Here is a 27,714-nt window from a genome sequence, read left to right as displayed (position 1 = left end):
TCAAATGAGAAGGTTGAATATGGAGTAAGAGCTTTCAGGTTTTTAAGTAAAAAAATAAGTGAAAATCGGTGTCACAAAAAATTTGCATCTTTATAATAAAAAAGGACAATCTCAAGATAAAATAATATCTAATTTCATGCATTTTTTCCCTCCATCCTTCATGCATTTTTAAAACATTGGAGGATTCTTTCTAAACCCTGGATGAGCAAGGACTCTGTTCTAATGACTTCAACAGGCAAATTCACCCACTGCTGGATTATTCTTCATCAGAATGTTTGTCTAGGATCCAGACAAATTATATCCTCTATTTGATGTTAGCCGATTGCTGTTTATTTTAATATCCTCATACAATGTGAGAGATTTGTTAACTTCTGTTTTTATTGCTTTTATTTATCTATGGTGGTGGCAGGAGGTAGGGTTGGGGTGGGACCATGGTGTGAAACGGGGATGGCATTTTTGTGTTTTGAGCTGAGTAATTTGGGACTTTTTGCCTTCATGCTTTTCAAAATATAAGTTTTGTCAAAATGCCAGCTCCAATCACAACACTGAAGAAAGCAGTTTGTAAATTATTAAAACTTTATTTTTTCTAGACGTTTTGTAAGCTGTATGTTGCTACAAAAGGTTAGGTGATATCTGTATGTTAGAAGACCCAAGTGTTGATCAAATCTAAGAAAAATATTTTCAAATAGAATATGCAAAATAAAAATGACAGTAAATTTTAGGCTACCTTGTACCCTTTTAAAATGGACCCACATTATGTGGGTATTGTTTACAGATTGTCATACCAATCTTCATATAATTGATTTTTTAATGTATTGTTTTTACATATTGCAAAATTCCTAATTATTTGGTTTTAAGCTGGTCACTTTGAGAATAATTATTCTTTCTGTTCTAGGTAAAGACAGTATCTGAATTGAACTGGTTGAAATAAAGGGAAACAAAATTTCAGTTCTTTTCCTATAGTTTTAATTTCCTTTGTTATGTTTATAATTATATTAATTTTTTTTAATTTTTAAAGTTTTGTTACAATGTAAGACTATGAAAAAGGCACGAAATTCTTTCATAGATTTAAAAAACAATCTGATCAGGCCAGGCGCAGTGGCTCACACCTGTAATCCCAGCACTTTAGGAGGCCAAGGCAGGTGGATCACAAGGTCAAGAGATCAAGACCATCGTGGCCAACATGGTGAAACCGTGTCTCTACTAAAAATACAAAAATTAGCTGGGCGTGGTGGCATGCATCTGTAGTCCCAGCTACTTGGGACACTGAAGCAGGAGAATTGCTTGAACCCGGGAGGCAGAGGTTGCAGTGAGCTGAGATCGCACCACTGCACTCCAGCCTGGGTGACAGAGTGAGACTCCATCTGGAAAACAACAACAACAACACAAAAAAACAAAACAATCTAATCAATATTCAGATTAAAAATTTTACAAATATTGAAATTGGCCAGGCACAGTGATTCATGCCTGTAATCCTAGCACTTTGGGAGGCCGAGGCAGGTGGATCACCTTAGGTCAGGAGTTCGAGACCAGCCTGGCCAACATGACAAAACCCTGTCTCTACTAAAAATACAAAAATTAGCTGGGCATGGTGGCTCATGCCTATAATGCCAGCTATGTGGGAGGCTGAGGCAGGAGAATCACTTGAACCCAGGAGGCAGAGGTTGCAGTGAGCCAAGATAGTGCCATTGCACTCCAGCCTATGCTACAGAGTGAGACTCTGTCTCAAAATATATGTATATAAATTAAATTAGTTTTCCTAAGATATTTTATAGATATTGTCTTTATTTAAATGCAAATAAGATAACTAGGCTTGGGGTTATTTTAAAAGTAGTTTTTTGAAATGTGTAGTTCATAATAATACACTTTTTTAGTTGTAAAGTTGTAAGGATCTCTCTAGTCAGCAACGTTAAACCTATTTCCATTTATAATTAAATTACATTTCATTCACTAAATCATCAACATTCAAAACATATGCAATGATACAGAGCGTTATATATGTGCATGTATCTGTACAGGTGCATATCAAGCATAAAAGAAAAGATGAAATTCAAATCAATCAAAAGTAGACAGTTCAGTTATTGACCCTGCTCCTCACTATGTCATGCTCAGGCATTTACCAGCAGAATTAGTAAGGTTTCCACAACAAAGTGCAGAGCAAGCTCTATTATTAATCTGCCGAAATAGGGAATGCCACAGAGTTGTAGTTTTATGCAGAGAGAGGAGGCCTTCCAGTCATTTTGGAAGATTCTGCAGCTTGGTGGGAATGACCCCACCTCGAGCTCAGACTGCTATCCGGTGTTTTAACCAAATCACTTTGCTCTTATTCTTGTCTTGAAACTTGAGCTTAGAATATTCATTTATCCACAAGCGTGCAGTGAGACATAACTAACAGTACTGTGCATGGCATGTCTGAAGCACTCTCACTTCTACAGGTAGTGCTATGTGACATCCTTTTCTGAGGTGTTCTGAATACCAGCTATTTAGATTTTGGTGACCACTTATAAAACTCCTGAGAGAAGGGAACATTGCTTAGGCTTCTCTGAAACCCGGTCATTACTTTTCTCTTTCTTTCTCTTCCTTTCTTTCCCTTTCCCTCCTTCCCTTCTCCTCATCCTCACTTCATCTTTACCCCCTTATATATTTTATTCATAGCTATTTTAAAAGAATTTTTATTTCTGTGGCATAATTTTGGATAAAATAATAGGTGAAGAGTACCAACATTTTCTTCTTCTTCCTCTCCTCCCCCTCCCCCTCCTCCTCCTCCTCCTTCTTCTTCTTCCTCTTCTTCTTTCTTTTTTTGAGACAGGATCTTGCTCTGTCACCCAAGCTAGAATGCAGCAAGTGGCACAATCATGGCTCACTGCAACCTCGACCTCCCAGGTTCAATCTTTCTGCCTCAGTCTCCTGAGTAGCCAAGACTACAGGCCTGTACCACCACACTCAGCTACTTTTTGAAAAAAATTTTTCATAGAGATGGAGTCTCACTATGTCGCCCAGGCTGGTCTCAAACTCCTGGCCTCAAGTAGTCCTCCTGCCTTGGCCTCCCAAAGTGCTGGGATTATAGATGTGAGCCGCCACACCTGGCCCAATGTTCTTCTTTTGAAACTTGGTAAAGATTATTTTTAATTTTCCAATAAGACTCCAATCTAAAAGTGTACAGCATGACTTTATTCAGAATACTTAAATGTAAGAACTGGAAGGAAACTTAGCAGTCATCTAGTCCAATATCTTCCATTGTGCAAGGAATGAAGCTTGTCCAGGCAGATTTTCCTAAATCAAGAGAAGCTGAATGCGTTCAAGAATGATTTTTGTTTCTAATAATAATAATAAGAATAATTTTTTCATTATAAAAGCAATACATGTTCATTGTAAAAAATTTAGGAAGTACTGATTTTAAAAACTCCCCCGTTAGAATCCTATTATCTGGAGAAACCACTTTTAACATTTTAATATATATTTTTCTTGTCTCTTTTTTCTATACCTATATGCATGCATTTTTATGATATTGGAACCATGTAGTCTTTACTGTTTTTCAATACAGTTAGTAGTTTTCTAAAGATGAAACAGGGGCGTTGTAAAATATTCCAACAGTACAGAAAAGTAAAAAGAAGAAAGTAAAACTATCACTTTAATTCTCACTGTCCAGAGATAATCACTGGCCAAAATATTAAGACAGTCATGAGGTATGCTAAAAAATGACTAGTTAATAATATTAATAACACAGTTCTAGATATTCATCAATGTATATATACTCATAAAGATTTACATATATATTGATGTTTGGTAATATGCTTTTTTACTCAGTAACATGTAGATTAACTTCCATGTCAATAAACAGGTCAATGTGACAATTTTGCTGACTATATCATATTTTATTATACAGATATACCTTGATAGATTAAAAATTTGTATTGTTAATATTTATATTATTACCAAATTTTCTCCTATATTTAGTGCTATAATAAGCTTTTTATAGCTAACTTTTTGTTTATATCCTTGATTAGTTTCTTATATCAGATCCCTAGAAATAGCGTTGCTGGGTGAAAAGCTGTATGTGTTTACACTTCTACTGCATAAGAGTCTATTTCCCTATAAATCTTACCAACATTTGAATGTTATAAAGTAATATATGCACCATTACTGTTTTATTTTGCATTTACTTTCTAGCAAGAGCAAACACGTTCCAACTATGTATTGACCATTTCTTATTTTTCTGTTGTGAATTGCCTGTTAGTGTCATTGCTGATTTTAAAATTCAGATATTCACTATTATGTATTAAATGTATTAATACATTTTTGTCCTATATGTGGCATCTTCTTTAGTAATTTTCATTTTACTTTTAAGTTTTGTACACATTTAGCACACATTGTTTTGTACACATTCTTTTCGTGTGAATAGAGAAGTTTTGAAGTTGTAAGTAGTCAATTATATCAATATTTTACTTTATAATTATTGTTTTAAAAATCATTCTTAGAAAATCCTTTCTTACAGAAATACCATGTATTCATTTATATTTTCTCCTAGTGCTTTTCTCATTTATTTAATATATCTAGATTTCATTTTCCTGTAAAAAGTGAGCTAAAATTCAACTTAGTTTTTTTCAACAACTCTTACTATATTGACTTGTCATAGATACCTTTCATACATAAAACTTTTGATTTTTGTTTTTGTGTAGTTAAAATTATGATTTTTTTCTTTGTGTATGTGTGTGTGGTTTTTTTGTTTTGTTTTGTTTTGTTTTTTGAAATGGAGTCTCGCTCTGTTGCTCAGGCTGGAGTGCAGGGTGGTGATCTTAGCTCACTACAACCTCTGCCCCAGGATTCAAGCGATTCTTGTACCTCCGCCTCCTGAATAGCTGGGATTACAGGTGTGCGGCAACATGCCTGGCTAATTTTTGTATTTTTTTTTTTTTTTTAAGTACAGACAGCATTTCACCATGTTGGCCAGGCTGATCTTGAAATTCTGACCTCAAGTGATCCACCCACATCAGCCTCTCAAACTTCTGGAATTACAGATGTGAGCCACCATGCCTGGCCAAATGGTTTTCATCATTAGTGCTATAGATTATAAAGGCTTTCTACCCCAAGAGTATATGTTTAAGACTACACACATACGCACACACACACACACACACACACGTCTATATATTTTATGGTATATTTATGTTTCCATTTTTAATATTGAAATCATGAGTTTATCTAAAAATAATTTTGATGTATTATGTGAAATAAAGATCTAACACCATTTTTCCCTAAATGTTCTTATACCAATATAATTTATCAAATAATTCATATTTTGCAACTGACTTTTTATTTTGTATTTTTAGTAGTGCTTTTAATACATTGAGACTCACCAACCAGTTGTTGAACCTCATATATCTGAGCCTGCACAAGGGAGAGATACCTTTTAGTGTCAGGTATAGAGGAAGCTTCCAGGGACTATGTTGCACTTTCTGACCTGCTCAGGTTCTTTGTCAGAGTTATGTTACTGTCAATGCCTGTGGCTGAAGCCATCTTAAGTCTACCAGCTTAGTCACCCCAACATTCTCAGGGAAGGCAGGACTTTGTACTCTCCAGCCGCAGGAGAGACTCATGAGACACCTGAATTCATTGGGGGTCTTTAGTCTCTCCTCTCTGGCTGACTGGCATTGGCGAGGACATGACCCATCTTTAGCCAAGAGGACCTGAGCTATATTCTGTTGGTGGCATACAGAGAAAGTTTACTTTGCTCATGGACATTATTGGTCTCATGTGATAATCTTAATTGTGTAATCCTCCAAAATTCTGCCCCTTTCCCCCTGACTCTCCTGGACTTCTAAAGGAAGCACCACTAATTTTAAATTTAAATGTTAACTTTATTTCATACTCTTTCAGCTATCTGAACATATTTCTAGATGTTCTGTTCTATTTATCTTTCTGTTTATTCTTCTACTAGTTCCATGCTTTAAACATTGTGGTAGCTTTATAATTCACTTACAATCTTATAGCTTTCATATAGTTTTCAGTTTTTGGACATAAGTTGGAACTACATTATTCTTTAATTTCCATTTCTTTGTCTAGTAATGATTTGGAGCAGCTTTTAATGCTTGTTGAACATTCGGATTTACTTTCCTGTGAATTTCCTACACCCTTTATCTGTCAGCTGCTTTGCAGATAGTTTTGCAACTCTATTATTTCTCTTTTTTTCTTTTCTTTCTTTCTTTCTTTTTTTTTTTTTTAGATGGAGTCTCACTCTGTTGCTCAGACTGGAGTGCAATGGCGCGATCTTGGCTGACTGCGAACTCCACCTCCCGGTTTCAAGCAATTCCCCTGCCTCAGCCTCCTGAGTAGCTGGGATTACAGGCACACGCCACCACACCCAGCTGATTTTTGTACTTTTAGTAGAGACAGGGTTTCACCATGTTGGCCAGGCTAGTCTCGAACTCCTGGCTTCAAGTGATTTGCCCGCCTTGGCCTCCCAAAATGTTGGGATTACAGGCTTGAACCACCGCGCCCGGCATTTTTTTTTTTTTTTTTTTTTTTTTTGAGACAGAGTCTCACTCTGTGGCCCAGACTGGACTGCAGTGGTGTGATCTCAGCTCACTACAACTTTCACCTCCCAGGTTCAAGCGATTCTCCTGCCTCAGCCTGCTGAGTAGCTGGGACTGCAGATGTGCACCACCATGCCTGGCTAATTTTTCTATTTTTTAGTAGGGATGGGGTTTTGCCACATTGCCCAGGCTGGTCTTGAACTCCTGAGCTCAAGTGATCTGCCCGCCTTGGCCTCCCAAAGTGCTGGGATTACAGGCATGAGCCACCATGCCTGGCATCAACATTATTATTTTTTATTTATGATATCTTTTACTATATACAAATGTTTAATTAAAAACAAATATATGTACAAGGTCTATCTTAATTTTATAGCTTCTAGGTTTTCTGTCTTAGTTAATAGGGCTCCCGATACCTAGCTAGGTTGGAGATATAGGAGAGGGGTTTAGCCATTAACCATTTTTGTCAAGATTCCTGAGAAGGCTAGGGAGGGTGGGGGTGAGACCTGAAGCACAGAGAGAGGGATGCTTGGCCACTAGTAAGAGGTATGAAACAGGAGAGGGGTGGGTGCAGATACAAGTGGGCTTGTGGATGTGATGACAAGATGTTCAGGTAACTTCCACCTGCTGGAAGTTGGGGTGAGGTGAGCTGCTAAGAGCTAATGGTGCTGGGTGAGCCATCTGAGAAGCAGAAGAAGGCTTGCATAGTTGTGGGGTGCTGGAGAGAGAGCTGACTGGAAACTCAGCAGTCACTAGAGAGCCTTGCACTTCCTTATATGAGAGGCAAAATCCTGAGGTTTGGGTAGCGTACTTTGAATTATTTTAGGTAAAATCCGGGTAGAGCTATCTATAAACAGTTTATAGACCACCTCTAGTGTAAACTTTGAATAGTCACATGAAAAACAACACAAAACAAAACTTTTGAAGGGTAGACTGGTTCTCCTGTACCATGGTGTAAACTGAAAGTCAATGTCCACTAAAAGAAAAATATGGATATAACCATATACTCCTTAAGCATATGAGACATATACAATTCAAATATACAAAGCAAATATATTAGAGTTTTTTCCTCTATACTATTACCAAATGATTTTTTGGGACAGGTGCTGGGCTAGAGGGAAAAGACCATGGAGTTTGGAGTCAGGGAGTTTTGGCTTAATCTAGCATTACTGATGACCAAAATGGTCACTGGAAAGTCACTATCACTGGGTGTATTAGGCCAATCTTGCATTTCTGTAAATAAATACCTGAGACTGGACAATTTATAAGAAAAGAGGTTTAATTGGCTCATGGTTCTACAGGCTACAGAGGAAGTATGCTGGCACCTGCTTCGGGGAGGCCTCAGGGAACTTTTACTTATGGCAGAAGGCAAAGCCGGAGCAGGCACTTTACATGGCAGAAGCAAGAGCAAGAGAGCAAGGGGGGAGGTGCTGTACACTTTTAAACTATGAGACCTCACAAGAACATACTATCACCAGAACAGTACCAAAGCAGAGGGTGCTAAATCATTCATTAGAAATCTGCGCCCATAATCAAATCACCTCCCACCAGGCCCCACCTCCAACACTGGGGATTATACTTCAACATGAGACTTGAGCAGGGACACCCATCCAAACTACATCACTGGGCTTCAGTTTTCTCATCTTTAAGCTAATAAAATCTACCTGAATTGTGTTGCTGTGAGGATTAAGTAAAGTGATATATATAAAAGATCTAGATTCGTGCATGGCATATATTGTGTGCTCAGAGGAATCCTTTTACTTATTCTTGATTTATAGGATCTACAAGATTTATTTACAGGGCTCCCCTGAATGATCTCTTCTTGCTTGTCCAATCAACCCATAAACATTTATCTAACACTAGTCATCTGGTGCTTAGTCCTTTGCTAGGAACCAAGGAAACAAAGAAAAATGAGCCATAGTCTTTGCCCTGGAGCTCTTTGTTCTGCACTTAAAATATGTTTTCATGTAAGAGTTTTACAAACACATTTCCTGAGTCTGCTAGTTGCTTAACTAAATTGACTACGTAATATTCTAGCCCAGTGGCTAATATATCAGAGGCACCTACTGTATCTTATTTTTCTTATCCTTTTCCCCCAAAGTAAAATATAGGCAATAGCAGTTTTATAACCAATTGATGTAAGGAAATCTGATGTATGATTCAGAATTACAAGTAGCATATGATAGGTATGGAAAGGAACCATTGACAGCATAACCATCTTAGGAAAGCTGACCTTTGGGCATGGACTTCCAAGATTGGTTGCCTGTTTTGCCCTAAATAGAATCCCTGACATGGTCTAAAAGTTCCACATCCTTTTGTGACCCTGTCTGTGTTTCCTGTGGTTTTGCCTCAGGGATATCCTTTTCATTTCTGAGGGCTGAATTTCTGACACTCATATCTGATTTAGATTTCTCAAGGTTCCTTGAAACAGTTTTTCTTCTTACTAAAATTTAGAATTTGATGTCTAATCTTTCTTCTAGCTCAGTAAGGGGAACCGAATTCTCTGAGTCTGTAATGGGTCACTGCCTTTCAGTCTGATGCTGTAACTTTAGTAGTTCTTATGCTATTCATTTTCTTAGTGAATTCTATCTTTTTAGTTTGTTTTATGAAATTAAAAAAATTATGTGAGTGCATTTTTTATTGGAGAAAATTAAAATACATAAGATCAGAGCATAAGATGTAAAACACCTCATTTTTTTCTCTTCATCCCTTCCACTTCCTATAAATAACACCATTAACACTTTTTCGCAGATATTATTCTATGTATTTTCATGCATATGAATGTCTATATGAAAGATGCATATATGTATATATTTTAACAAAACTGAGATTTTAGGATACAAATTCTTCTATGATTGGCTTTTCTTTCTTAAGAAATATTGGAGCTATTTGGAACTACCTCATTCTTATTAACAGCCGCATAGAATCCTGTATCATGGATAAAACCAAACTCCTCTTGATATCCAAAGCTGAACCTCTGGGTGTTCCCTCCATACCTGATCCTCCCACATTCTTCTCCATTTCAGTTCATAGCAATTCTAGCTTCTCAGGCCAGAACCAAAATCTTTCAGTTATCTTTCACCTCACCCCTCTTTTTCTTTTTAGCAATCATGATCTGACATATATTTATTTATTGCTGTATTTATTACCCATCTCCTCATAGGTATATAATCCTCATTTTTTCAGGTCAGGAACAAGAGATGGTGACAGTAAAGAGCACCAAGTAAACCTATTGAAAGAACACCAGGTACACCTACTGTGTGTGGGGGAGGGAGGCACATTTCACCAACCCTGGGCTGTCTCTCCTCTGTAACTTCTGCAGGAATTCAGATCTTTACTCCTTAATTACCTGGTATCCCCAACTCTCAAGTGTCTGTTCTCCTGGAGTCTTTACTGCTCACATCTGTTCAGTCCACAAGTTTTACCAATTTTTCTAAATATACCGTGGCACCCATCCACTTCTCTGTAACATTATTACCGTCGCCCTATTCTAAGATATCAAATTGACCAAGACTATTGCTATAGCCTCCTAAACTGGCCTCTCCCAGCTACTGTGCCCGGCCTTTGCTCTCTCTTCCCATAGTCTCCACGCTGCACTCAGAGTAATCTTTTCACAATGCACAGCTTAAAATCTGTCAGTGACTTCCCCTTGTCCATACCTATGAGTCAAACTCATGATCTCTCACATTGCCTACAGGGCTCTGCCTGTCTTTCCAGCCTCTTTATGTCTCATTTACTCCCTTAATTCAGCCATGCTGATTTTCTGTCAGTTCCTCTCTCAGGCCTTTGCACAAGCAATTCTCCTGGCGGGAATGCTCTTTCTTTCCACCTTTCATCTTATATCATTTAGGCTTCACCTTACATATCTTTTTCTTAGAAATGCCTTCCATGACTCCACAGACTGTACTCTGGACTTTTCCTGTGTAATATGCATCATACTTGTACTTGGTTAGTATCTGTCTTCCTAGTGAGACTGTATGCTCCCTGGGAACAGAGGCCATATTTGGCTTCATTACTGCCAGGCATGCACTGGATTCTCAAAAAATGTTTGCTGAATAAGTAACTATGGTATAAACCTTGAAAGGGTGAAAATTCTCTGAAATTACTGCCTCAGCCTTGACTCAAGAAGTGATGATATGGCATAAACTTGTACAGATGAGAGGAAATAGAAGAAGAAAACATGGTAGGATGGGGCAGAATCTTTTTCTGTAGTCTCTCCTGAATTAGGTTCCATCAATGCCCTAGTGAATTAGGGTTAAGACCAGAACTACACTGTAGTTAAGAAAGAATTATTTTCCACTTTTGCATATGTATATAATTTAATTACATGTAATTAAATATATGATGTAATATATAAAATTATATCATAATTAAATTATATATTAAATATATTTACATATAATATATAGTATGATATAATATACATACTTATATATGTAATTAATTGTTTAGAAATTAACTTTGAGAAAGTTGAATGTGTTTCATTTCATAGCATTGGTTACTTCTTAAACAATTCTTTTATCCTTATAAAGATTAGGTTAAAATGATGCTTTGAGTTATTCTTTTTTTTTATAGCTTGATATGTGCAGTATATTGTGCATCAATTACACCTCCATAAAGTTGTTTTAAAAAAACATTGCCAGTGGTTTCCAATCTTGGGTCTAAAATTTTGACTTTAAAGTAGTTTTTTTGAAAACCCAGTGCATAACCTTCTTGGGAAACTGGAATCTGGACACTTTCATTCGAAATTAAACTGTTTTCCAGATTATAAGTAACTCTCATCTCTCCTGATTTTGCCAGAGCCTAATAGATCTGGGACTACTGCCCTCATGTCACTAGGCTTCTGTATCATCTAGAAAATGAGGACTGTAACAGTGCATGTAATGAACTTAGGACTAGAGTGGTAACTGCTATAATTATAATTATTCTATCTTTCCACCTCAAGTTATTCTTAAAGACTTGACTTAGTCTCAACTGACTTTTTTTTCCTTTTCTTTAGTGGCCTCACGTGGAATAATTTTAACTCCACTGATGCCTCCTACAATCAAGTAATCAAATCAGCCAACTCTCTGGAGAAATAATGAAAACAAACTGTTCTGTTCTTATTCTTAATTTAACATTTTTCATCTTATGAATTGGATACAATTGAAGGTAAAAAGATACAAAGTTTGCTAAAGTTTTGAGTGACAGAAGATAGAATATGATCTCAGCGGCCGGGTGCGGTGGCTCATGCCTGTAATCCCAGCACTTTGGGAGGCCGAGGCGGGCGGATCACAAGGTCGGGAGATCGAGACCATCCTGGCTAACACGGTGAAACCCCGTCTCTACTAAAAATACAAAAAATTAGCCGGGCGCGGTGGCGGGCGCCTGTAGTCCCAGCTACTCGGGAAGCTGAGGCAGGAGAATGGCGTGAACCCGGGAGGCGGAGCTTGCAGTGAGCCGAGATCGCGCCACTGCCCTCCAGTCTGGGCTACAGAGCGAGACTCCATCTCAAAAAAAAAAAAAAAAAAAAAGAATATGATCTCAGCTATAATTGCAGCATTGTTAAATTGGGACTATAATTTAAGAATTTAACCTTCATATTTAAAATTTGAGGGTTTTGTTTAACTGCAAGAATCCATAAACGATGATAACATTTTAAAGAGGAAAGAAATTAAAAGTAAATGGCACTGCTAACTTTTCTATTATATTTAGGTGCACTAACTTTTCTATTATATTTAGGTGCAGCCGTAGAGAAGGACAAATTTAGCTCCAAGATTTCTTATGACAGCCAGGCACAACACAGCAAGAAAGAAGCGTCTGACCATACTCACTCTTTAATCTGCAATGCTGGTTACAGCAGAATTTATAATCAGTTGAAGGTTTGACGAACTGTCAACAACCTCTCTGCTCCCAAGTTTATCTTCATGATTGCTTATTTATTGCAGGAGCATGATATTTATTCTTAATAATATGCTAATCATAATTGCTAAGGAAATTGCTGGTTAGCCTGTCTGGCATTAGATGATCAAAAGGAAGTTACAATGGACAGAAAAAACATTTCATTAGAAAACAAAAAGAATTGAAAGAGAGCACACTTTGATATCATTATGATTTGGTTCTTACAAATTATCATTAACAACTAGACTAACAAAATTCAGTGTAAATATACAAAGCCAGGTTGTTGCAACATGTAGATTAGAGTTTGCTCCAATCTATGAATAGCTGAGGAAGTTTCCACAGGGGACAGTAACAAATAGTGGTTGCCCTAAGCAGAGAGCCAGTCCTACCTTAGTTCTACATCTTTTACTCTCTTCTTGCCTTTTGCTTTTGTGTTTCCAGCCTACTTTTGCTCCCTGGAATTCTCCATCTTTCCTTCTCCACTCTCCACGGGACATTTTGATAGGAATATATCATAATTCCATGTATGGCTTCTTCTTGGAATATTTACATGTATATTTACTTTCTCTCTCATTGGAAAATTGGATTTTTGTTCCTGCTTAATTTTGAACATCACTTGTTTTTTTGTTTGTTTTGTTCTTTTTAAATAAGGAGCACTATCCCAGTGTCTTTAAAAATAGACTGTTTTCTACGTTGCCTTCTAGTGAAATGAATTCTGGATCTGAAATGAGACATTATGGAATAAACAAGGAACTGGTGCCCAGTGAGTTATAGCGGAGAATAAAGAGACGTCCAGAGAAGATTTAGAAAATATTTTCCTTGTGAGATTGTGTAAGCTTAGGCCCAGCAGGGTGGCTCACACCTGTAATCCCAGCACTTTGGGAGGCCGAGGCAGGTGGATCACGAGGTCAGGAGTTCAAGACCAACCAGGCCAAGGTGGTGAAACCCCGTCTCTACTAAAACTTCACAAATTAGCCAGACGCAGTGGCAGGTGCCTGTAATCCCAGCTACTCGGGAGGCTGAGACAGGAGAATTGCTTGAACCAAGCAGCAGAGGTTGCAGTGAGCCGAGATCACGCCACTGCACTCCATCCACCCTGGGCAACAGAGTGAGACTCTGTCTCAAAAAACAAAACAAAACAAAACAAACCCCAAAACATTATGTAAGCTTAAAAAGCCCTTAAAGTGTGTCTATGGTAATATACTTAGAAATACCAGGAAAATGTGAAAATGACATTTAAAATGAAATGCAGTAAAAATAATTTGCAATCATTATGCATATAATTCTGAGGGAATTCTCCATATGGTTTGATAAGAATCTAATTATGGGAAAAATTTACCCAAGAAAATAAAATGGAACTTTCTCTCACAGATAACTGATAAGAAGTAGCCTAGAAAACAATATTGCTGAAACAAATAAAAATGAATCAAGGCCAAAATGCTTTAGATGCCCTTGAAAAAAATCAAGACGTTATTTAGAAGTATTTGGTAACTGTTTCCATAGCAGACTTCAGAAAATGGGCTTGCAGTCAATGTGGTTCTCTCTGTAAAACCTGCGTAGCAGTGTCAGTAACCATTTATTCTGTCATCATTTGGAAGTTAGAGAGAGCTGGCTTGGAAAATGGGGAGATTTATAGAAAAACAAAGCTTATTGTATATAAATAGCCTGAAAATTTGATGAAAATAACCAATCATACATAACCTAACCAGAAAAAAGAGGAAAAGAAATTATATACACATACAAAAGGTTCTAAATGGAATATATTTCAAAGTTACAACACCATGAGGGCCCAAAAGAGGATACTGTTGGATCAGTGAAATGTGATGAAATGATTTAGGTTGAATGATACCAGTTCCATGCTATTTGGTTACTGTAGCCTTGTAGTATAGTTTGAAGTCAGGTAACATGATGCCTCCAGCTTTGTTCTTTTTGCTTAGGATTGTCTTGGCTATGCGGACTCTTTTTTGGTTCCATATGAAATTTAAAGTAGTTTTTTTTTATGCCCCTTGGGAATATTTCTTTTTCTTTTTTTATTATTATTATACTTTAAGTTTTAGGGTATATGTGCACAATGTGCAGGTTAGTTACATATGTATACATGTGCCATGCTGGTGTGCTGCACCCATTGACTCGTCATTTAGCATTAGGTATATTTCCTAATGCTATCCCCCGACCCCACAACAGTCCCCAGAGTGTGATGTTCCCCTTCCTGTGTCCGTGTGTTCTCATCGTTCAATTCCCACCTATGAGTGAGAACAATTCTGTGAAGAAAGTCAATGGCAGCTTGATGGGAATAGCATTGAATCTATAAATTACTTTGGGCAGTATGGCCATTTTTACAATATTGATTCTTCCCATTGATGAGCACGGAATGTTTTTCCATTTGTTTGTGTCCTCTTTTATTTCCTTGAGCAGTGGTTTGTAGTTCTCCTTGAAGAGGTCCTTCACATCCTTTGTAAGTTGTATTCCTAGGTATTTTATTTTCTTTGTAGCAATTGTGAATGGGAGTTTGCTCGTATTTTGGCTCTCTGTTTGTCTATTATTGGTGTATAGCATGCTTGTGATGTTTGCACATTGATTATGTCTCCTGAGACTTTGCTGAAGTTGCTTGTCAGCTTAAGGGGATTTTGGGCTGAGACAATGGGGTTTTCTAAATATACAATCATGTCATGTTCAAACAGAGATAATTTGACTTCCTCTCTTCCTGTTTGAACACCCTTTATTTCTTTCTCTTGCCTGATTGCCCTGGCCAGAACTTCCAATACTGTGTTGAATAGGACTGGTGAGAGAGGGCATCCTTGTCTTGTGCCAGTTTTCAAAGGGAATGCTTCCAACTTTTGCCCATTCAGTATGATATTGGCTATGGGTTTGTCATTAATAGCTCTTATTATTTTGAGATATGTTCCATCAATACCTAGTTTATTGAGTGTTTTTAGCAAGAAGGGTGTAAATTTTATTGAAGGGCTTTTCTGCATCTATTGAGATAATCATATGGTTTTTGTCATTGGTTCTCTTTGTGTGATGGATTATGTTTATTGATTTGCATATGTTGAACCAGCCTTGCATCCTAGGGATGAAGGGGACTTGATTATGGTGGATAAGCTTTTTTATTTTTATTTATTTTTATTTTTATTTTTTTGAGAAAAAGTCTCGCTCTTGTCCCCCAGGGTGGAGTGCAATGGCACGATCTCGGCTCACTGCAACCTCCCTCTCCCAGGTTCAAGTGATTCTCCTGCCTCAGCCTCCCGAGTAGCTGGGATTACAGGTGTGTACCACCACGCCCGGCTAATTTTTTGTATTTTAAGTAGACATGGGGTTTCACCATATTGGCCAGGCTGGTGGATAAGCTTTTTAATGTGCTGCTGGATTCAGTTTGCCAGTATTTTATTCAGGATTTTCGCATTTATGTTCATCAGGGATATTGGCCTGAAATTTTCTTTTCTTGTTGTGTCTCTGACAGGTTTTGGTATCAGGGTGATGCTGACCTCATAAAATGAGTTAGGGAGGAGTCTCTCTTTTTCTATTGTTTGGAATAGTTTCAGAAGGAATGGTACCAGCTCCTCTTTGTACCTCTGGTAGAATTCGGCTGTGAATCCATCTGGTCCTGGGCTTTTATTGGTTGGTAGGCTGTTAATTACTGCCTCAATTTCAGAACTTGTTATTGGTCTATTCAGGGATTTGACTTCTTCCTGGTTTAATCTTGGGAGGGTGTATGTGTCCAGGAATTTATCCATTTCTTCTAGATTTTCTAGTTTATTTGTGTAGAGGTGTTTATAGTATTCTCTGATGGTAGTTTGTATTTCCGTGGGATCAGTGGTGATCTCCCCTTTATTATTTTTATTGTGTCTGTTTGATTCTTCTCTCTTTTCTTCTTTATTAGTCTGGCTAGTTGCCTATCTATTTTGTCAGTGTTTTCAAAAAACCAGCTGCTGGATTCATTGATTTTTTTGAAGGGTTTTTCATGTGTCTGTCTCCTTCAGTTCTGCTCTGATCTTAGTTGTTTCTTGCCTACTGCTAGCTTTTGAATTTGTTTGCTTTTGCTTCTCTAGTTCTTTTAATTGTGATGTTAGCGTGTCAATTTTAGATCTTTCCCGCTTTCTCCTGTGGGCATTTAGTGCTATAAATTTCCCTGTAAGCACTGCTTTAGCTGTGTCCCAGAGATTCTGGTACATTGTGTCTTTGTTCTCATTGGTTTTAAAGAACTTCGTTATTTCTGCCTTAATTTCATTATTTACTCAGTAGTCATTCAGGAGCAGGTTATTTAGTTTCCATGTAGTTGTGTGGTTTTGAGTGAGTTTCTTAATCCTGAGTTCTAATTTGATTACCTGTTGTCTGAGAGACTGTTATGATTTCCTTTCTTTTGCATTTGCTGAGGAGTGTTTTACTTCCAATTATGTGGTTGATTTTATAATAAGTGCTATGTGGTGCTGAGAAGAATGCATATTCTTCTGATTTTGGGTAGAGAGTTCGTAGATGTCTATTAGGTCCACTTGATCCAGAGCTGAGTTCAAGTCCTGAATATCCTTGTTAATTTTGTCTCGTTGATCTATCTAATATTGACAGTGGGGTGTTAAAGTCTCCCACTATTATTGTGTGGGAGTCTAAGTCTCTTTGTCGGTCACTCAGGGCTTGCTTTATGAATCTGGGTGCTCCTGTATTAGGTGCATATATATTTAGGATAGTTAGCTCTTCTTGTTGCATTGATCCCTTTACCATTATGTAATGCCCTTCTTTGTCTTTTTTGATCTTTGTTGGTTTAAAGTCTGTTTTATCAGAGACTAGGATTGCAACCCCTGCTTTTTTTTCCTTTCCGTTTGCTTGGCAAATCTTCCTCCATCCCTTTATTTTGAGCCTATGTGTTTCTTTGCACATGAGAGAGGTCTCCTGAATATAGCACACCAATGGATTTTGACTGTTTATCCAATTTGCCAGTCTGTGCCCTTTAATTGGGGCATTTAGCCTATTTACATTTAAGGTTAATATTGTTATGTGTGAATTTGATCCTGTCATTATGATGCTAGCTGGTTATTTTGCCCCTTAGTTGATGCAGTTTCTTCATAGTGTTGATGGTCTTTACATTTTGGTTTGTTTTGCAGTGGCTGCCCTTAACATTTTTTCCTTCATTTCAACCTTGGTGTATCTGGCGATTATGTGTCTTGGGGTTGTTCTTCTCGAGGAGTATCTTTGTGGTGTTCTCTTTATTTCCTGAATTTGAATGTTGGCCTGTCCTTGCTAGGTTGGAGAAGTTCTCCTAGATAATATCCTGAAGAGTGTTTTCCAACTTGGTTCCATTTTCCCCATCACTTTCAGGTACACCAATCAAATGTAGGTTTGGTCTTTTCACATAGTCCCATATTTCTTGGAGGCTTTGTTTGTTCCTTTTCATTCTTTTTTCTCTAATCTTGTCTTCACACTTTATTTCATTAAGTTGCTCTTCAATCTCTGATATCCTTTCTTCCACTTGATAGATTCACCTGTTGATACTTGTGTATGTTTCACGAAGTTCTCGTGCTGTGTTTTTCAGCTCCATCAGGTCATTTATGTTCTTCTCTAAACTGGTTATTCTAGTTAGCAATTCCTCTAACCTTTAACCAAGGTTCTTAGCTTCTTTGGTGGGTCCATTCTTGAAGGTAACACTGTAATAGACAAACATTTCTTTTGGGGGAACAAACTATATATCTCCAATTTTTAGTTCAGTTTTGTATCATGTGAAGTAGAATAGTGCACCAAGTAGTGTCAAAAGATGACTTATGAAGTACTCACACTGCCACTTACTAAATGTGTGATCTTTGGCGAATTTATAAAACTGCGTTTATGAGTAGGTATAATAGTATCTACCTTACTGGGTTATTGTGAGGCTCGAAGGAGTTAACAAATGTGAATATACTATACAAATACTTAGTAAAATCCTGTAATGCTAAAATAGTTTAATTCTCTCCTTTAGCTGAGCCAAACTAAAATCCTGTAAATCAGTAACTTATTTCACAGTCTTCTGAAATTTAACAGTTTCCAAGTAGGCTTAGCATTGGAAAGTTATTTCACCATGGAATAGAGTATGGGGGAAACTTAATAGTCATGAGAGACTATTGCTTATCAGTAGTTTGGTTTAATGGAGATGCTAATTTGTAATTTACCATCATATTTTAAAAACTCAATTAACTTTCTGGAGGCAATTTTGCATTAAATGCATTCTATTAATTCTCTAGAATAATTTTTTGCTTGGTGACGTTAGTCTCTGAGAACAATAACCATCAGTTGCTCTGTTCACTAGACCTTTCTTTTGTAGATTTCAGTGTCATTGCCACTTGACCTTACTTTCTCGTAAGAAAAACTTTTCAGATCTTGGCTTCAAAGGTGCTGAAAAGAAAAATTTGGCATTTATAGTATGTTTTATTGAATCAAAAGAAAAACCTGGTAAATTAAGTGAAAAAAAGAAAATAAAACTTTTTTTTTCAATTTAATTGAGCTAATAAGACAGCTGCCAAAAATGGCTATGATGACATATAGTGGATTTTTACAAAAGCATTGAATAGAATATATATGGTTCTTTCAGTTGGAATGAAGAGCACAGTTCTTTGAATTCAGTCTGGTTCTGTGCTGAATGTCTTTGTTTAAAATATCTGTATTTTACACTTTTGGTCCTGTCTTTCCTATTGTGACAAGTTGCTACCTTCTCATGCCACCTTGATTAATCCTATATGAATTTTGTTGTGAACGTTTGTATATAAATATCAATTTGTTCAATTTCATGTGAAAATCCTGGCCCCCCTCCTCACTTTTGAAGCAGATTCAGATGTAAACTGTCTTTTTAATTATCTTCTTTATTTATTTAACACATGTGTTTTGGGTGTAAAGAAAAAAACCATTAATTTTCTAAAGTCCTAATCATGGTATATGGAAAGATCTTTTTGTGTTCACATAGAAAGGTTTTCTAGTTTCCAAGTGGATTTAGTATGTTAATCTGTCCATAGTAAATACTGGGAATGTTGTATTATTAATATTTTCACATAATAACCAGCGGGTTTCATGAAATGCTTATGTAACCATAATTTCACAATAAAACAGGTAAAACAAGAATATTTTAATTATAATTTTTATGTCACATTTGGTTTTTAAAATAAAATGGGATGATCAGATTTTCAAAAAGCAAGTGGCAGAATTGTCTTTGATTATTGCCCCCAAATCACTTTTAGTGATTTTTAATAATATGTACTTAGTTTTATACGTTTGTTTTAGGTTTTATTTCTATGTTTTTACCCTTACTCCTACCATTCCGTGTATGACTCAAATAATCACTTCTAATTATTCTTGATAACATTCAGTGCTTTTTTTCCTTTTTTTAATTTATTGACATGGTTTTGAATATCATGGTATTTTTCCTGTAAATTACTTCCTTAAAGAGATTCTAGGAATCAATCTGTATATATGTTATATTATTCTTATCAACAGGAGAACTCATGATTTTTTAAAAGAAATAGTAAAAGATGAAAAGATAACCTGAAATGGATAACAGAACATAAACTGAATGGGCAGAAATAAAGACAGTTAAAGAAAAAATGTGGTAAAGGAAAAAGAAACAGGTCCTAGGGGATTATTTTAGGGTACAATAGACAATGTAATACAGTAAAAAAAGAAAAACAGGGATGAAAGTCCTGAAGATAGGTGGGAAAAAATAGCAAGAATGTATATTTAGGCAAGGCAGGAATAAAAAGTCAAAGGCTATGAGAAAACAAGATTTATTTTAAAATCCAAGTAAAGAGTTGAAACATTTGTAATACATTGAGAATAACTGAACTACAAAACATATAGGAAAATATTCACAGAGGCAAAAACATTAAAAAGAATTTTAAAGTGTATTACATTTCCACTCAGATTATTTCTATTTTTGAAAAATGGCTACATTCAGATTAACAATTACCACAAAGTAATGTTTCTATAGTATAATTTGCAGTCATAGAGTTTATGTGTTTAAACTAATGCCATCAGAATGAAAAAGGACATTATTAAAGATATTATCTAAAGGTAAAGACCCAATCTAGAGAATATATTTGAAGGGAAACTCTCTTATTACGCTACAACACCAGCTGTCCTAAAGGCTTTATAGAACATAATTGTGATTAAGCAGCACTCCTGCTGCTGGTGTAGGAGTTATAGCCAATAATAATGTATTGACATTTATATGGTTGTGATGCTCTGACCTGAACTTGCGTAACTAGTGCCCTAGTAATTGCCAAGTGTTTCACATTCACTGTAATGCCAAGATAAAAATAGCAAAGTTGATTAAATACAGTTAGATGTTAATATAAAATAATAAAGTTAAGTACTTCATATAATGTTGTTCCTGACAATTTGTTTTCCTCATTGAGTAAGTGAATGCAATTTATGGAAAAATAGCCCTTCATATTATTTCCCTAAAGTTAGTCACCATGAATAATTAGTCTTTACTAAGCAGTTATTAAATCTTCACTCGCATTGTAAATCAGTTGAAAATGAGGAGCAATAGGAGAAAGCAAGATTAGATTTTTAGAATGCTATTTTATTGTGCGTTTTAAGGTACTAGGTCACCAGGTTTTTGTATTATTGTAATATATCAGATAATAAAATTTGATTTATTTAAACCTTCTCTTAAACATTTTCACGTTCTCCAATGCTCAAGAATCTGTAAAAAGTTGAATATTTACTTACAGTTCTATTAACTTTTCCTCCAAATCGGATATTTCCCTCACTTCCTTATTTTGTGATAATAAACGTACTAATGGATGCTTTCATTGATGGGCCCCTACTTAAGGAAAATGAAAACTAAAAATGATTCTGGTTCTTTAAAAGTTTATTCCTATGGCACCATCGTGTAAGCATACATATGGGACAGTAAAAATGGAAGACGACACATTAAATGACATTATTATAAAATGCAATACTCTTGGAATGATCCCTTATTAAATTAGGCTCTATGATGTGAGATGAATTTCCCCGATCCCTAATCCATCACTGGAGAAATATTAAAAGATAGGTCTCAACTGGTATTAGAATCGCACTCAGTCTCTACTTTCATTATTTTGAATTAGGGTGCTACTGGGGGAAAGCCTCTTAATGAGAATTAGAGTGATTCACTGGCCTTCTTTTGGATTTTGACAAGTAAAATATTAACTCTTCAGTCACAGCTGTCTGAATTAAAATACTTGGCAGCCGCAGATGCACAAATTAAATTGGCCTTTATGTTTCCATATTGCTGACCTCCTTAGAGGCAAAAACATCAAACTCAACAATAACAAAAAAGTCACAGTGTGTCATTTCTTGGAAGAAAATATATTTATTGAAGTTTTTATAGTTGTTTCAATTTTAACATACAATTGAACAACTCTAAGACATTTTGAAGTGAAATTTTGTTTTGATTATAAATTACATAAACTTCAGCCACACATCAGTTATTTTAAGCCATTAACTAGTTGTTAAAATAATCAGCGATGTTTTGGGGGTTTTCTTGCCTGTTTAAATCCCATTAATCAGAACTGTGAGTTGAATATCAGAGTAAATACAGTGAATTCAGCATCAAAACATTTAAAGCACATTTACTTGGAAATACACACAAAGATTTATCCCTCTTTTCAATCCAAAAATAGATTGCATTGAAGATGAAAAATTAATTTAGTGGAATTGATTTTCTCCTAAATATGGTGTTCAAATTTAACATTTATTGTATAACTAAACAAAAAAAATAAAATCTACGTTTGTTGTTTTTAAAAAATAATGACAATTTATACCTATGTCTCACTCAATGGAGTTAGTGATTTGAGTGAATACTCAACAGAGTTAGTAATTTATAGAGTAATTCAAATAATGATTAAAAAAATCTGGCCTGTCATTACATACTGGTTTCTGACTTCTTTGCCTTTCTGTGGTCACTATAACATCATCTTCCACTTCTCTCTAATTACTACTCATTGATCTAAACTTGTGATTGGTTGGACAATGATTTGAGGTAGACACTGATGAATGAATCTTACCCATCTTACTTTACACATCCAGTAAAGTGATGAACTCAGGGACATGTGTTGTGAATCTAGGTTTTTCCTAAAACCATGGAACTAACAAAAAGGATTAGGAAAGTGCCTCTCCATTTCCCAGTGAGGTTCAGTTTATGAGAGAAAAGCTCTTCTTTGAAGGAATTTTGAGAACCCTTAGCATTATATAAACTATAATTCTGGAGACAGTGTGATATTTATATGCCCTATGGAATCACGCTTCTACATCTTTGGTAACGTGTGGGCCAAATACTAAATTATGAGTCTTCTAATGAATTTTGTTTGTGTAAGTGCATACACTTTTATGTAGATGAAAAAAAATACTCAGAGATCTAAGGTTATTTAATTTTAATAGACAAGAGTGCTAGGCATGATATGCAAGGAAATTGTACATAATTATTTTATTTCTCCAAAACTTTAGGGTTTGGCAAGTTGGAGAAAAACGTTTATTTATTTATTTATTTATATTTTGAGACAGAGTCTCGCTCTGTCACCCAGGCCGGAGTGCAGTGGTACGATCTCGGCTCACTGAAACCTCTGGCTCCCGGGTTCAAGCGAGTCTCCTGCCTCAGCCTCCTGAGTAGCTGGGACCACAGACATGGACTACCATGCCCAGCTAATATTTGTATTTTTAGTAGAGATGGGGTTTTGCCATTTTGGCCAGGCTGGTCTTGAACTCCTGACCTCAGGTGATCCACCCGCCTTGGCCTCCCAAAGTGCTGAGATTACACACATGAGCCACCGCGCCTGGCCCTTATTGACTTTTTATAGGTTACATTTTAGTTTACTTTATTTTCATTTTAATTATCTTTACATTATAATTGTGTTTCACTATTAAGCTTTTCATACTTAAAAGAAAATATCACAAAGCAGTATGCTTTTTATAGTGAGGACAAATTATAATAGACCAAGATCTTAAAGTTTTACCATTTATATTCTCTTCTAGAAGAAAATAAGGTAATCAACATTATATTAACATATATTCTGAATATTTATTAATGATAAATGTGTGCTTCAAATTGACTGTTATTAAATTATAAAAGAAAAAACGTTTTGGTAGTAGATAGACAGTATGAATCTACCTGTGCATGCAATTATTTGAGATTGTGTCTTTTCACATAAAAATATAAGCTATAAAATGGGTGTGTTGGTGCTAGTCAGCTACTCAGGAGGGAGAGGTGAGAGTATTGCTTGGGCAACATAGCAAAATTCCATCTCTTTAAAAAAATTGTGTATATATATATGTGTATATCTATATAAAATGTATGTGTGTATATATAATGTATGTGTATATATGTATATACATAATGTGTGTGTGTGTGTATCCTGTTGTATCAACACGTTTCTTGCTTTGTCTTATTTTTAGCTTGGAAATACCTGAATTTTAAAAATTTGGCATATCTTTTTAGAACTCAGTTATTACTTAAATCCATCCATCATGTAAGTAACCTGTTGCATTAAAAATGTATCATTAAAATTATTCAATTATTTTCAGAATATTGATAGGGCTATGCATTTTTACTGGCAATTCCTAATCCTATTATACAAGAATGAAAACTTGGAATACTACCGGAATGAAAAATTACTGCCCCGATTCAAAGGTGAATGTAACCACCACTCTTGCTTTGTCCTGTAACTAACTGCAATGTTTTGTAAGAACCTTGAATAGTAGTAGAGCATTATGCAGACAGATTACCAACACGGGAGGCTCAGTCTGTGAATTAGTTCTACCAGAACTACTTAATGCATCTTTTCTGGAATTAAATGTGCATGGAAGTCTGCCATAGGGCAAGCCACAAGGTGGTTTAATTTCTTTTTTAGAACACATTAGTAGAACTCGATAAAGGGTCAAGTAATTTCATCCAACTTGCCACTAGTTAGTTAAGAGAAAATGACAGTACTTGAGGCTGACATTGTTACATTTCCACAAATATATTTTATAAAATAGCAGTTTAAAATTTCATTTTTTTGCAGAAAGAGTGATTGCCTAAGGAATACTTCTTAGCTTTAAAAGATTACCTAGCCTGTAGCTAAATAGGGCATTTTGATTAATATTTGCTATTTTGAAAGTGGGTTGAGGTCTGAAATGAGATGGTTACTTTTCAGGCAGGAGTGACTTTGGTTCCAAGGCTCCCGTAGTTTCCAGGGAGGCTGCACGGGGAGTAATTTCAGCGAATTGTAAGCGGACAGTAACTCCACAGGGAGCTCCGGCAATCATGGCGGAAACAATGTTTACATCGATCAGCTGTCATGGTGATTTATGGCTTCATTTTGCTGTAATGGAGAATTAGTGGAAAGATTATCAGGGACTCAACACTTTGGCTTGTTACCCATGTCCAGACGAGCAATTTGTCTCCCTGAAGCAGCGAAATACTTGTGACAGCTCCAACACTTGCTCTAATTCAATCAAGAGAAAATGTTGGAATTAATTTGTTACAAGAAAATTTAAATATGTTCAGCAAACAGTAACCGCAGAGCAGAAGGCTGATTTATTGTGCTCGGCAAGATATCGATCCACTTCGATCTGGCCCATGTTGAGGTTTTAATGTGTAATAATTTCCAATTTAAAGCTCCTTTTCAGGATCACGGGTTTAAAGAGAGGGCAGGCTAGGTCTCAAGACCTGATTAGGAGCCTGTTGCAATGGCTTTGTCAAAAGCCTGTTTGAATGTAAATTCATAGTTATCTTTTGCACTATCTTTAATATTCTTGACATGGATTTTATTGTGTGTCAAACCTCAGGCCAGCTGCCTGCCACAACCATTAATGAAACATCTTAGGAAATAAATCTCAGTCTTTATATAGTATTTTTAAAAACCTGAAACATTAGATGTCAGAGAAGAAGGTTTAACATTATTTTTTTGTCAGGAAACCATCTGAGAAACAGCCGTTTTACAGCCTGCCTACACAATTAGATTGAATTATTGTGTGAATGCCATAATGCTATAAGCTTTCGTTTCAGAAAGTCTGCATGAATATTTGTAGGCACATGTACAAGTTTGTTGTTATGATTTTTTTTTTTAAAGAAGCTAACAGGTCATGAAGTGTATTGGTTGTTTTTCTACCTACTTCTCCCCACACCTGACTAGGTAATGATGTAATTATTTGGGTGTCTGGATGGGTTTATGTTTTCTACTGTGCAAATTAAATCTCCATCAGCATTCAAGCACTTATTGTATTAGGGAGGAGTTATTCACAGTTTGAGAGTATTATTGTACTATTTCATGTTACTTGAATGACATATTTCATGGTAGAAGGGATGTACAATTTCTGTAGTCTTTCAATTGTAGGATTTAAAAAAAAAGCTGTGTTTGAGTGTCAGATTGCATGAGCAATGAGTAATGTGTGGTTTGGGCAGGCATTTTTTTTAGCCAAAATATACTTTGATGGAACAGTCATTGGCACAACAGAAATTTAAAGCTATTTGGTTTGCAGAACAAAAGAGCATGTCCAGCTCCTTTTCTGCATCTAATTGTAAGTCTGCTCTTTGAGTCTAACATCTTTGTTAATATTAGTAGCTAATACGATCAGAGAACTATTCTGTTCATCCTGATCAATAAAAAAGTACAGTCTTCCACCATGGGGAATTGATGCAGGGCAGCGCATTTTCTGCTGAGTGGAATGGCAGACACACATATTGCTTGGCTTATGTTTTCTTCATTTATTCTTAACTTTGGAGCTATAAATATGATTTTGTAAATTGCTTCTTTGTATGTTTTTTAAAAATTCATTTTCATTGTCTTTTCATGAGGAAATTTTGAGCTTTGAGTTGTTTTTTTTTTTTTTTTTTTGCTGTCAATAGTACAAATAATTGGTTGGTATGATGGTAAAATACTGTGTCTCTCTACCAGACCTAAATAATATACTGGGAAGGAGAATGATGTCTGTTATTTTTACTGCCTCTGATATTTTTACTGGTACAAGTATCATTTTTAGTTCCCGTTCTTGTGGTTGAATGTTTGAGTCTAATGTGTATCTTTTGTGACTAGGGAGCCAGAAATGGAATTTTTAGCATAGAACAATCCAAATTACTTTTCTTAGACTTTTAGATATCTAGACTAAGATGAAAGAATTTTTTAGGTGATATTCATTATGAAGGATCCTAGCACACCAAGCTTAATGATGAAGTAACTGCTTCATACATATACTTATCCTCTCCTTAAAAGTCTACCACCTTGAGTTTCTTTTCTTTGATGAAAGAGTCAACATTTCTAACATGTAATACTAATGCAGTAAAGACAGCTTCCAAATAAACCACCTAAAAATCAAATTAGTCTTCTCCGAATTGAAGGTTAAGTTGGCCTCCATCTTATTAGTTCAGTGGAACTATCGTAACTCTCCCTTTAACCTGTGAGTGTCTAAATCTGGGGGTTCCATTTCCTATAGTAAAGCCATGAAAAAGCTCAGTTTTCTAAATTTTGGAATTCAGTTAACTGAGTTTCTGTGAGATGATTGTTTCCCATCCTGCAGCATATTACATTTCACATAGTACATCCTCTGCCATTGCTAGCTGGAGTTCCTGCTTATCCTAAGGCCTGACAATTGTCATTTTGCCAAACACAAAAACATCATGTTGATGTATTAACAGCCTCCACCAGTGATGATGCTACCCTCAGTTACAAAATCATATTAACTTTGGAAATGGATTGATTGGTGCAGGTACAAAGTTAAAAAATACTGAAATTTTGTTTGATGGGATGTAAAGTTAGAGTTAGTGGCACGTTTCCCTAAAGTACTAAAAAGTTTAGAAATTTCTGCAACTAAATAGCAAAAGCAAATGGGTAAGAATGCCAGTCATGCCATTTAAGCTTTTGATACAATTATTTCATTCTCAATCATTTTTAAAGGAATCATTCTAACATAATAATATTTATACAGTTAGAATATTTTACTGTTATTACTTTCTAAAAGCATTGTTTTCCATTAGTGTGATAAAAATAATTTACTAAATCTCCAGTTATGATTTCCTGACATTCACTGACAAGTTTTTATCTTTAAGTAAATCATCAAGGAAATACGATTCGTTTGATGAAGTTAGTTTTGCTGTAGATTTATAAATGCTAAGCAGCATGTATTGCACTAAATGCAAGCTGTGTGTATATATGTGTGTGCATATGTATCTTGATCAGTAACAGAGTTAGGTCTTGGGTTGGATAATAATTATAACTTTGTTGATAAGGGTAGTATATTTTAGATTATAAGTTTTCCTGCTAGTGATTCAGTTTTCATGCTAGTGATTTTTGTTTCCTGGTTTAAATTTCAAAATGACACTCTTGTTTAAAAT

The 27,714-nt window shown here is 35.8% G+C and overlaps 4 annotated features.

Annotated features, from left to right (window-relative positions):
* Window positions 20,219–22,017: an enhancer, noted in NCBI's record as "VISTA enhancer hs1262". NCBI's record gives its function as "enhancer in: hindbrain (rhombencephalon)[5/6] | limb[6/6]" and the evidence as "EXISTENCE:transgenic organism evidence [ECO:0001131][PMID:17130149]".
* Window positions 20,219–25,697: a biological region, named in NCBI's record as "hs1251 and hs1262 enhancers downstream of SHOX2".
* Window positions 23,439–25,697: an enhancer, noted in NCBI's record as "VISTA enhancer hs1251". NCBI's record gives its function as "enhancer in: neural tube[3/6] | hindbrain (rhombencephalon)[3/6] | midbrain (mesencephalon)[3/6]" and the evidence as "EXISTENCE:transgenic organism evidence [ECO:0001131][PMID:17130149]".
* Window positions 24,637–24,739: a conserved region, noted in NCBI's record as "conserved region; duplicated CNE region of homology to human CNE5; is also ultraconserved in vertebrate orthologs". NCBI's record gives the evidence for it as "EXISTENCE:sequence alignment evidence [ECO:0000200][PMID:23575226]".

This window comes from Homo sapiens, chromosome 3 (assembly GCF_000001405.40).
Source record: "Homo sapiens chromosome 3, GRCh38.p14 Primary Assembly".
Classification (NCBI taxonomy): domain Eukaryota; kingdom Metazoa; phylum Chordata; class Mammalia; order Primates; family Hominidae; genus Homo; species Homo sapiens.
The sequence above is the reverse complement of the archived record's forward strand: the minus strand, read 5'-3'. Positions and strand labels throughout refer to the sequence as shown.